The 12,929-nt window shown below is 41.2% G+C and overlaps 1 protein-coding gene and 1 long non-coding RNA gene across 25 annotated transcripts in view; one reads left to right on the forward strand and one right to left on the reverse strand.

Annotated features, from left to right (window-relative positions):
* The window catches only part of LOC105374505 (uncharacterized), a 190,382-nt gene extending 178,278 nt beyond the window's left edge, over window positions 1-12,104 (forward strand). For all 3 annotated transcript variants that reach the window (XR_007058068.1, XR_007058069.1, XR_007058067.1), the window contains one exon: window positions 2,844-12,104. This is a non-coding gene — a long non-coding RNA (uncharacterized LOC105374505). The remainder of the gene's footprint in view (window positions 1-2,843) is intronic.
* LDB2 (LIM domain binding 2) overlaps window positions 1-12,929 on the reverse strand; it is a 397,105-nt gene that overhangs the window by 37,602 nt on the left and 346,574 nt on the right. The gene's annotated exons all lie outside the window — the stretch shown is intronic.

The following is a 12,929-nucleotide window of genomic DNA, read 5'->3' on the forward strand; positions in this document are numbered from 1 at the left end:
GGGGATCAAGGAAAACCTTTACAGATTGAGTAATCTTGGGTTAGACTTTGGGAGACACATAGGTACTTTCTGGGATTAAGCTTTGGGAGACAGGTGGGTATTATCTGGGTAAAGAGAGGAGAAAAGGAGAGAAAAGGCATTATAAGCAGAGGGAGAAGGATGTAAAAAGGTACAGGAAAGATCAGGCATGTTTGGGAAATCATCAAAAATTCAGCAAGTTTGGAGTTCATGGTACTTCAAGGAAAAAGGAGAGACATGGAACTAGAAGGATAAGCAGGGACTTTACTTCCCTCTGGTCACATACACAGACAAGGGCAGTTTCTGCCCCTTTCACTTAGGTGACCATGGTGATGATAGTGGTGATAATGATACTAGAATAGATTTTCACCACACCTAGCAGCTTATGAAACACATCCGCATACACCAGGGCAAATTGCTTGATCCCATGAAGCAGGCAAGGCACACAAAAATAGTTTAGCTTCCAAGTGATTACATAAACTTGTGCCAAATTTATTCAGTTACTCCCCCAAAAGAGGTCAAACAATGGTCTTTTCATCTAGAGTCCAAAACTCCACTGCTATTTCTCTTATCTAGTAAGACAAAATTAATCAAATTCACTGAAAGTCCACCACTACTGTGGCAGAAGTGGTGTTCACCAAATATCCATGTGTTCCCCTACATTTCCAAGCCATCCTTGCAATAAAGTTGGGGTCATGTGACTAATTCTGGACAAGGGGTGTATTAGTCCATTCTCACATTGCTATAAAGGACTACCTGAGACTGGGTAATTTATGAAGAAAAGAGGTTTAATTGATTAACAGTTCTTCAGGCTTAACAGGAAGCATGACTAGGAGGCCTCAGGAAACTTATAATCATGGCAGAAGGCGAAGGGGAAGCAAGCATATCTTATGATGGCAGAGCAGGAGTGGTGGGGGAGATGGTGCCATACACTTTTAAACAATCAGATCTCATGAGAACTCACTCACTGCCAGGAGAACAGCAAGGGGGAAATATGCCTCCATGATCCAGTCACCTTCCACCAGGCCCCTCCTCCAAATCAACATGAGATTTGGGTGGGGACACAAATCCAAACCATATCAGTGGGCTTGGGAGTGGACATGAAGTGCCAGGTTAGGGTGAAGCCTAACTGCTTTACCCTGATACTGCAACCTTGGACATCATTTTGCCATACGGTGTAGTTTCAAGATGAAAGAGGGTGGCCAACCTAAGCCTGACTTTACAAAGCAAAAATGTGTTTATTAAATTAAGCCAATGGAAATTTGCGGTCTTATCTTTACTCCAGCATCCTAACTACTATAGTTCTCAAAAGGTTGGCATTTTTTCTACCTGTCTTTGTATTTTATTTCCCAACAACTGTCCCTTTCCAATTCATTTGTAAGCCTCATTGGACCACTTAGAGTCGCTGGCTATGTCCTTTGAGAATCATTTATTGAACATCTCTTCCTCTCCTACTTGATTGCAAGTTCCTCTAGGGCAGAGCTGTGACAATCATTTTGAAAAATTATTTTCAGGAAGAGTCTGGCACAAAAGAAATATGCATAACTGGATTTTATTTTTTAAAAATCTATAAAAAATGACCATTTTGCTTGGGATACTTTGAGGACCCCAAGTCAGGTTTATTAATTTTAGAAATGATATCATTTCATGTCAGATGATTCTCTGACTTGGGCTTTCAGTCTTTGACAACTTTTTTATCTTTATCCCAAATTAAGAAAATGCAAAATTTACAGAGAAGCATCTTATCTGTGTTCAACAAGAGTTCTTCACTTTCTGTGAAATGCTGGATAAGCTATAGAATGAAAAATAGTGATGTCTACCAAATTAGTAGTATAAGGATTGATTACATAATGATTACCTGTTAAACTTTAACATTGTGCTTATTGTATAATAGAACTTGAGTGTTTTCAGAGTTATGTGGGGGCATGGAGCAGGTGAAATCCAGGTGATCACCATGTGAAATGGTTTGGATATATGTCCCCACCAAATCTCATGTTTAATTATAATCCCCAGTACTGGAGGTGGGGTGTGGTGGGAGGTGACTGAATCATGGGGGTGGGTTTCTTATGAATGGTTTAGTGCCATCCACTTGGTGCTGTCCATAGTGAGTTTTTATGAGATCTGGTTGTTGTAAAGTGTAAAGTGTGGCACCCTCCCTGCCTCCTTGCTCCTGCATTCTCCATGTGATGTTCCTGTTCTAGCTTCACCTTTTGCCACGAGTAAGAGCTCCCTGAGGCCTCCTCAGAAGCCAAGCAGATGCCAACACTATGTTTTCTCTACAGCCTGCAGAACCATGAGCTGATTGGACCTCTTTTCTTCGTAAATTACCCAGTGTCAGGTATTTCTTAATAGCGATGCAAGAATGGCCTAATAAACCATGATTGGGGTTCCTGAATCTGTGGATGACAGTCAAGTCTGTGTCTCCCTGCCTGGGGCATCCCAGGTAAGGGCTGAGCAGCATCAAGAAAATCTGTGCAACATTTGCAACTCATAACATACCACTTATCACTTCACCCCTCAGACTCACAAGAACACATAATAGAACCAATGCAAGAGAAGGATGCCACAAGGATGACCTTAAATCTCACCTCATCTATCACATAAAACATAAATGACAAAGTTTGGTAATTTGGCTACCATGCATGACAGCACTCACAACTGATGGGGTGATGCATAGGAGTTGAGAATTGCTGCTCTGGGGAATGTGTGGGGAGTCTCTATTGAAAAGGTTTTTTTTCTAGAGGAATGAAAATGCACCTAGTTAGGTTTGCTGTACATGGTTTTTTCCCAACTATTTTATGCCTCCTTCTTTTTTTACTTCCTAGAGAAATTTCTGGCAAGAACTTCTGGCAGTCTCCTGTTTCCCAGATGCCCGGCTCCTCACTGACGTGCACATAACAGCAAATCTATAACAATCCTCCTTCCAATTACATCAGGTGGTGGGGGGGGGGGCGCGAGCAGGAGGGCATAAGAAGGTCAGTACCCTAGAAGGCAGCCTCATTTACTCATCCACTAAGAAAATAATGACTGAACACCTACCAGGTTCCAGGCACTTGGGAAAAGGCAGTGAGCAAGACTGATGAAGGCCCCAGCCCGCAAAGCCTCATATTCAAAAGCTGGGACAGAGATGAGAGAAAAGTAAAGAAATAAACAAGACATCCTGGATGGCGATAAATGCCATGAAGATAATAAAACAGGGTTATGTGATAGAAAATGGCCAGAAATGAGGATAGCAGGTTTGATGGAGGTCTTTTCAAGAGGACATGCAATCAGGACCCAATCATGCAATGATGTGTGGGAAGAACCTTCCCATAGGCCGGAGGGAGGGATGGGCTTGGTTTATGTGACAAAGGCTAAGTGGCTGTAGCAGAGAGAACTAAGGGAAGAGAAGCAGAGGCTAGATGATGGTGAGCCTTATAATCGATTCAAAGACATTCCAAGTAAGTGCAAAAGGAGGCCATCAGAGGGGCCCTTGTGGACATTGCAATACAATGTTGAAGTCCAAAAACAATAGTCTATTCATTGACCTACCCTTATTTCCTAAACTCTAAATAATGCTCAATAATTTTTTTTTAACCAATTTACAAATGGTTTTTTTACTTGTGCCTTCGTTTTGTTTTTGTTTTTTGTTTTGTTTTGTTGTTATACTTCTAGCGTACAATGTGCAGGTTTGTTACATACGTATACATGTGCCATGTTGGTGTGCTGCACCCATTAACTCATGATTTATATTAGGTATATCTCCTAATGCTATCCCTCCCCCCTCCCCCCACCCCACCATAGGCCCCAGTATGTGATGTTCCCCACCCTGTGTCCAAGTGTTCTTATTTTCACTTCCCACCTGTGAGTGAGAACATGCGGTATTTGGTTTTCTGCCCTTGTGATAGTTTGCTCAGAATGATGGTTTCCAGCTTCATCCATGTCCCTACAAAGGACATGAATTCATCCTTTTTATGGCTGCATAGTATTCCATGGTGTATATGTGCCACATTTCCTTAATCCAGTCTATCATTGATGGACATTTGGGTTGGTTCCCAGTCTTTGCTATTGTGAATAGTGCCGCAATAAACATACTTGTGCATGTGTCTTTATAGCAGCATGATTTATAATCCTTTGGGTATATACCCAGTAATGGGATGGTTGGGTCAAATGGTATTTCTAGTTCTAGATCCTTGAGGAATTGCCACACTGTCTTCCACAATGGTTGAACTAGTTTACAGTCCCACCAACAGTGTAAAAGTGTTCCTATTTCTCCACATCCTCTCCAGCACCTGTTGTTTCCTGACTTTTTAACGATCGCCATTCTAACTGATGTGAGATGGTATCTCATTGTGGTTTTGATTTGCATTTCTCTGATGGCCAGTGATGATGAGCATTTTTTCATGTGTTTTTTGGCTGCATAAATGTCTTCTTTTGAGAAGTGTCTGTTCATATCCTTGTAGAAAAATTAATTCAAGATGGATTAAAGACTTAAATGTTAGACCTAAAACCATAAAAACCCTAGAAGAAAACCTAGGCAATACCATTCAGGACACAGGCATGGGCAAGGACTTCATGAGTAAAACACCAAAAGCAATGGCAACAAAAGCCAAAATTGACAAATGGATATAATTAAACTAAAGAGCTTCTGCACAGCAAAAGAAACTACCATCAGAGTGAACAGGCAACCTACAGAATGGGAGAAAATTTTTACAATCTACCCACCTGACAAAGGGCTAATATCCAGAATCTACAAAGAACTTAAACAAATTTACAAGAAAAAAATCAAATAATTGTTTTTTTCTCCCTCTCTCTTTTTTTCTTTCCTAATAATTACTCCATACCCAGTCTATTGCAGGTACTGTGCTAGACTTTGGAGACATGGCAACACACAAAAATTAAATTCCTGCTTTTATGTGGAGACAAACAATAAACAAACACATGTAGAATGTGTTTGGAAATGTTACACTTTATGAAGGAAAAACAGAGGATCATAAGCAGTGTCATGCATGTGTGTAGGCACAGTCTGGCTATTTTTGGTAGAAGGTCTTTGAGGAGCAATTGGAGAAAAGACGGGAGAGGAGAGAACCCTATGAACCCTGTGAACAACCAGGGGAAAAGCAGCCGAGGATGTGGGGACTGCAAGTCCGAAGCCAGCGGCAGGGAGCATGCTTGGTGTGTCTGAGAAAGAGCAGCTGGCTTGGGGGAGTGATGGAGACATGGGGGTGGCTGACGGTGACCAGGCCAAGTGGGCTTCATGGGTTTAGGGGAGGAGTTTGGATTTCACTGTGAGATGACAAAACCCTGGAGTTGTTGGCAGAGGTGCTAGAACATTATTCCATTTAAGCATAAAAGGCTCAATCTGCCTGCTTCACCCAGTGGTGGAGAACAACTGAGTGGAAACAGCTGGAGGAGCCATGTTCCTGGGAGAAGGGGAGAGGTTTTGGATCCGGAGCATGGTGTGAAGATGAACCAGCAGGATTTCCCAACAGGGTAGATGGGGCTGGGAGATAAGAGGGAGTGAGGGAAAACACCAGCGACATTGGCCTGAGAGTGTGCAGGAAAAGCCAGTTTGGGAAACCTTGGAGGAACCAGTTTAGTTCTGACCAAGATGAATTTGACATGTCTGTTAGACTTCCAAGTGAAAACATTGAAGAGGCAGTTGGTTGTATCAGGCTTGACTTTACAGGAGAAGTGGAGGCTGGGAATATATTAATAAATGAAGGAGTTGTCAGCTTAGAGATTGTATTAAAATGCATAGGACTCAATGAGATATTCTAGGAAACAGGTATGAAAAGAGATAAGAAGAAATGTGTGCGCCGAATCCTGAGGCAAGAGATGGAGAGAGAACAGCGAGTGAGGATAGGGAGGAGAACCAAGACAGCATGATGCCCATACACGAAGGGAAGAAGTATTTCATGGAGAAACACCAGCTGTAGCAAAGAAAAGGAAGTTTGGATCTGCCTGCTCTCCTTCCTCCCTCCCTCCCGCTCCTTTTCTCCCTCTCTCCCTCCCTGCTTCCTTCCTCCTTACTTCCCTCCCTCCCTCTTTTCTTCCCTCCCTTCCTTCTGTTTTTTCCCCCCTCCCTCCCTTCCTTCTGTCTTTCAGTTTCCCGTTAGTCTGAGATCCTGCAGGATAGATATTTCTGGTGCTCTTCACAGAATGAAGGGCCTTGGGTTTCCTCCTGATACCCCACGATGCATGCAAAGACATAGCAGATAAAGAGATAATCATAATCTAACCGCAAAATGCATCCCTTGCACTCTGTTATTATATTAACAGCGCTGCTGGTACTTTCCTTCTAACTTTTACCCGTGGAGAATTGAAAAGACACTTGGAGTGAAGGTTCAGAATCTTCAAAACGTGTACACCATCAGCATAAATGTCTCATTCTGGATAAATCCGCTTCAATTATATATTTAACTCAGCTGAGAGCTCCCCAAAGAAGGGTTATTCTGTATTCACCAGCAAAGTATTTTTGATACCCTCATGGGGACAATGATTTGCCAAAAATTCATGCAACTTTTTTTATATTAATGCAGGAAAACTTGAAGATTATTAAGTCCATGCTTCTGACAGCCCCTGCAGTTACAAATAAAATAGCTAATGAGAAGAAAAACTGCCCCTACCGGCTTATTCCCAAAGCCCCAGCCATCTTTACGCAAGAATGCTGTGACAAATGGTACTTTTCACATTTCTAACATGCCCCTTCTCCGATTATAGATGTAGATGGATAACATGACCACAAGAGTTAGGCCCCGAAGCAGATGATTGCCTCTGGCACCCGCCGTATGCAATTCGAGGTGAAATTTCCAAGAGCCAAATGAAATAATTGCAACAGGGTAAGTCTAACTCTGCCAGTGGATTTATAAAAATTAAAAGGTCTGAGAGGTAATGCTCATGAACCCATTTGTCTCATTTTTCCTCATTAAGATTTAATTGAAATGAACTCTGGTAACTGTAAGAAAAGTTACATTCTTATTTCAGGCTAGCATTTTTTAAGCACCATACTCTCCTTGGGATCAGTTTGATGCACTGCTATTTCACCATTGATATTAGTGCAAACATACTAGTGAAATAAAAAAGAAAGGCCATTTAATCCTATCAAAAGATAGCCATTTTGCATTTAAGAAGCACAGGTATCTACGTTTGAAGGCGCAATTAAAACAACTTCTGGACGAATTCTAAAATGTGAATTGGCCCCCTACCACGTAAAACTAATTTAAAGGAAATGGAAAGTCAAAATGTTGTCATTTAAAATAATTACCATATATAGATAGATATAGTCCCTCACTTACCTGCCACTTCAACATATTGTATGTAAGAAATTAATGTGAAGTGCACTTTTATGTAAGCATCAGAGAATCTGGAAACATAAAAGTATGACAGCGGTCTTCATTTGGGTTTTTCGAGGCTGCTATTGTGCATACTGCCACTTACAGCTTGCACATGGTATGACAGCACTGGCCACCAGGGTCTTCAGCTCCTTGCCACCCCCTTCCCATCCACACTGCCAAGGTGAAAAAATGGTTCTTGCCAAAGTCACTAAAAGCCCTCTCTTTGCCCACCACTGTGTATGTTCCACACTTCTCAGTGGTATTTAACCTTGCTGTCCATGTCATCCTTTTCATATATAAAACTCCTTCTTGGGTTTCTAGCTCTCTCTTCTCCTGGCGACCTCCTTCAGCTTCTGATAGCTGCTTATTGGCCTCCTCCCAGGGTTCTTTAGCTGTCTCTCCCCCAGTGTTGGTCTTGCCCCACTCTTCTGCTCTAGGTCGACTTGCCTCTTCACTCAAGACCTTCTCAGGACAAACTTGTCCATTGTGGTGGGTTGAATAATGTCCTCCCAAAAGATACACCCAAGTCCTAACTCTGGAAACTGTGAGTGAACACTATTTGAAAATAAGGCCTTTGCAGATATAATTAAGGTAGGGATCTCTAGATGATATAATACTGGATTTAGGATGGACCTTCAATCCAATGACAGATGCTCTTATAAGAAGGGGAGAGGACAAAGAGAGACACAGAGGAGAGACAGCCGTGTGAAGAGACCCGAGGCAGAAATTGGAGTTAGGCTCGCACAAGTTCAGGAGTGCCCTCAGTCATTCTGGAATGACTGGAAAACAGCAAGTTAAGAGGATTTCTTAGACCTTCAGAGGGAGCGCAGCCATTGTGACACCTTGACTTGGGACTTTTGGCCTCCAGAACTTTGCAAGGATACGTTTCTGTTGATTTAAACCATGAGGTGTGGTAATTTGTTACAGTGGCTGTAGGAAATGGATATATTCACCCAAATGAGACCTCCACTCCTACCTTTAAGCCCAAAGACTCCCAATTTTAGAGCTTCAGCCAGTATCTTGCTCCTGAGTTTCAGATGCTTGGTATCTTGACTGGGATGTCTTACAGACAGCTCCTTCTCAAGACACACATCCAGCCTAGGGCTCCTGCCTGCTCCTTATTGATTCAGCTGCCAATGCTGCAGACTGGGGATTCATACCACTACTCAAGAACTACTTACACAACCAACCTAGACCCTAATTATAGAGGCAGCAGTGGGAGGGAGGGGCCCAGCACCCAGACTCTGAAGCCTAGATGTTTGGACTTGAATCTTCATTTAGGCTTAACTTATTATTTGAACTTGGGCCAGTTTTCTGTCTTGTTACCTCAGTTTTCTCATCTGTAATACAGGCCAATAATAATACTCACAAAGGGCTGAGAATACTGCTTGGCACATAGAAAGTGTGTTTTCTTTATTTTTAAATAAATTTAAAAATTTACAAACATTCATTTGGAACTCTCCTGGTTCTTTTTTTTTGTTTGTTTTTTGTTTTTTTTTCCAGACAGAGTCTTGCTCTGTCACTCAGGCTGGAGTGCAGTGGCGTCATCTTGGCTCACTGCAACCTCTGCCTCCCAGGTTCAAGGGATTCTCCTGCCTCGGCCTCCCAAAGTGCTGGGATTACAGGTGTGAGCCACTGTGCCTGGCCTCAACTTTCCTGGTTCTTGACCCCCAACTCAAGGTTAGCGAGTCCTTGTCCTCATCTGGGGATAAAGACACAGGCATGGAGCAGGTGGCTCTGAAGAGTATCTCTGTGCCCATCTGTGCAGTACCTTAGGAGCCCATGTTCCATAGTTCACCCTTTGACTCTGATGAGGCTGCTTTCCTCCAGGTAGTCCCATAATAAGATTCGCCCAAGGCTTCTGATCCCAAATCTTTCCTTCATCTGCAATGCTCTTCCTCTTTCCACTCATTCTTTCTCCTCCTCCCACCTTTCTCCTCAAGTTGGACTTAGCTTTGATACAGCCTCTTCCAGACACTCTCCACTGCCCTGCAAGCTGAAGGGTAATGATCTGTTTATTATCTGCCTCTTCTATTAGATTGTCAGCTCTTCCAAAGCAGAAATTATGTTTTATTCCTATATGTACCTTGAAGACTTGGAATGCAGCCTGCATAAAGTAGGGGTGCAGGGAATCTTTGTGAAATAAATAACCATTTGTTTACCAGTTTCTGCATCCCTCTGGGTGATGAATGACAGGGTAAGCCGGAAAAAGAATCTGGCTACCAAATTATAGTCCTAAAGTTCTCCATTTTAACAATTAGCTGAAAGCCTTTTGGGAAATGTAATAGTCACTCACTATTTATATTCCAACAAAGCACAACACCCTACAGTCTGCTGACTGATTATATGCAGAACACATTTCACAAGGAAAACAGCAAAGTGTGCTAGTGGCAGAGATGTGATCTTAGGGAGGTAAAGGAGAAGGAATAGGATTTCTAGAAGATTAAGAGCATAGAACAAGACCCCAAGACCTATGCCTGGAAGCAAATGAAAATATAGAAGCATGGCGTCTTATATGATTAGGAGGTATTGGAGTACAAAGAAAGATTTTATGCGTTCTGAAACCTGTAGGTCAGTTATGACCTAGAATTATTGAAGGAATCTGGTGTAGGCCATTCTCCTGTTCAGAGCTTTTTCTAGATATCATAGAGCTAACAAGTACACAATTTCTAAGAGACTCTTGCAACCTTAGTGCTGTTTCAAAGTTTTTCCTGGTTTCATCTGAATGCCCAGCACACAGCTTTTAGGAGCACTCAGTGGTTTAGTGTTGATGACAGGTTGACAGAGAAAACCAAGTGTCTTCCATATAGGAGACAGTTAACATGGGAAGTTATAACTGCATTAGGGGTCTACTCTTAACAAGACCAACTTCACTGCTCTGGTTAGCAATTTTCTGAGGAATGAGTAGGAAAATAGGAAGAGACTCAATCTCTCCTTTCAAGCCCCACATTCAGTCTATCAGCAAATACTATTGATTCAATCTTTAAAATACATCCAGGAGAACCATCTCCACTGCAATTATGCTGGTCTAAGCCCTCATCATCTTCTGTCTGGATTTTTGCAATAGTCTCCTGACTGGCCTTCCTATTTCTCCCCTTATCCAGCTTCTGTCTATTCTCAACACAGCAGTGGGGCCTTCCTGCTCAAACTAGGACAGACCAAGGCGCACCTCTGTTGAAAGACCTGCAATGTTACCCAGATTAAAAACCCAAGTACTCTCAGTGTATACTATCTGCCCCTGGAAAGGATTAGAGAAGTTACTTCCTCATGAAATTGGTGCCATTAAGCTCAGATCAGAAGTACGAATATAATAGACTCCCATGAACATACCAGTTCTTCTCTGTAAGAGTTACAAAATATTTTGCTAAAGGGCAGCAAAAAATAAAGAATACAAAAATTAATAAAAATGTTAATGGCTCTAGTAGGAGGTCTGAAGGCAACCAAAAATTCAAGTGGTGTGCAAGTCACCTAGACACGTGGGTGATCACCAGTGTTAGATGTGTCCTTCTGAGCTTGCCCAATCTGTATTTACAGGACTTTGGTACCAATTGAGTCTTCAGGAATTCTTAAACAATGTGATGTCCTGGGGTGTATACTGGCTTTGGAATCAAAGATCTTACCTAAGTAAGTTAAATAAACATGTTAGGCCTCATTCTCCTTATCTGTAAGATGGGATAGTAATATCTACTTTGAAGGATTGTATTTATTCAACCCTCTTCATTCTGAATTCTGTTGGCATATCACTTTCTGTAGGAAGCCTTCTTAGGTCCTACTAGAATTAATCTCCCCATCTCTGCAGTTTCCTTCCCTATACCCAATAAATCATTGTGTTTTCTAGCCCATCTTATCTGTTTTGCATGTCTGCCTTCTCAAGACCCTGGGTTCCTGGGTAGCCAAGAGTAGGTCTTATTCATCTCTGTATTCCCAGTACCTAAAATGATGACATTTGTTAGATAAATGAAAGAATGAGCTCTCAGAAGCAAATGGAGAGTATATTTCCTGTGTGAAAGTCATAATTTTGTATTTCCAAGACATTTTCCCTTATTACATTGGTACGTTACATCAGTAAACTAGAAGAAAAAGAGTAAAGAAGGAAACCAATAATGAGAAACCATTTGATATTAAGATTGGTGAAAATTCCAATACCAAGTGTTGACAAGAATGGGCATGATGAGGACCCACATGTGCTTTTGGTGGGAGTGCAAATTGGCACAAGCCTTTTGGAAAACAAAGCTTCAGATGCACGTGGCATTTTGGCAAATAATTCTACTCCTGGATCTGTGCCTTTGAGGAATTTGGCACACATAAACAAGGAGACTTGTACAAGGGTGTTTATAGTAGCACAGTTTATAATAGCAATAAAATTGGAAACTACCTGTATGTCCACCAGTGGGAAAACAAATACATAAATGTTTGCATATTCCTATAATACAACTCCTTGCTGTACTTAAATGAATAAAAGCAACAGGGATTTATGTAAATACACCTTAAAATCATACTGCTGAAGAAAAGACGAAAGTTGGAAAAGACTTGAACTTTTTTGTACACCATTTACATTAAGTTAAAAATCAGATAATAAATAGAAATTCATATATTATTTCTGAATGTATACATGCATAATTATGCATCAAATGATGCAAGTAATGGTAATTATAAGATTCTGAATGGTGGTTACTCTGGGGAATGAGAAGAGTAAAATGGAATTTAGGAGGGTCGATTGAGGTTGTAATGTGGTTATTTCACAAATAAAAAGACTCAAGTATTCCAAAATGCTGAGATTTTTTAAAGTTGTATTATGGATACATTATTGTTCATTCTATTCATCTTAAAACATTTCATACAATTTTTTAAAAGTTAAGGAAAACTGTATCTTAACTGTGGAAACTGCATGTAAGCTAACTCTATTTTCAAGGCACCTGTGTGTTTGAGACAGATTTCATAAATTTCTTTAGTATGTAACCAAATGGACCAACTCCATGAAAAAGTCCTCTGTAAGTATTTGTTCCCTTACTTCAACTATCTATTTATTTTTATTTTTATTTTTTATTTATTTATTTTTGAGACGGAGTCTCACTCTGTTGCCCAGGCTTTAGTTCAATGGCGCGATCTCGGCTCACTGCAACCTCCACCTTCTGGGTTCAAACAATTCTCCTGCCTCAGCCTCCCAAGTAGCTGGGATTATAGGCGCCTGCCACCACGCCCAAATAATTTTTGTATTTTTAATAGAGAGGAGTTCCACCATGTTGGCCAGACTGGTCTCAAACTCCTGACCTCAGGTGATACGCCTGCCTTGGCCTCCCAAAGTGCTGGGATTACAGGTGTGAGCCGCCGCACCCGACCAACTATTTATTTTATTTTTTCATGTTTTTGCAATGGAAATATTTTGAGGGAACACAGTACATCTGAGTTTCTTAAAGATATTACAAAGTATGTGGTATGCAAATATCCTCTCTTCATTCTTTTTACATAATTTTTTTTCCTTCCGACTTTGTAAGTCTTAGGTGTATAATTCATTCATTCTTCCAACTATCCAACAAATATTTGCTGAGCCTCTACTATTTGTAGGCTGTCTTCTAGGTCCCGGGGGTAGATTGT

Source organism: Homo sapiens, chromosome 4 (genome assembly GCF_000001405.40).
Source record: "Homo sapiens chromosome 4, GRCh38.p14 Primary Assembly".
Lineage (NCBI taxonomy): Eukaryota > Metazoa > Chordata > Mammalia > Primates > Hominidae > Homo > Homo sapiens.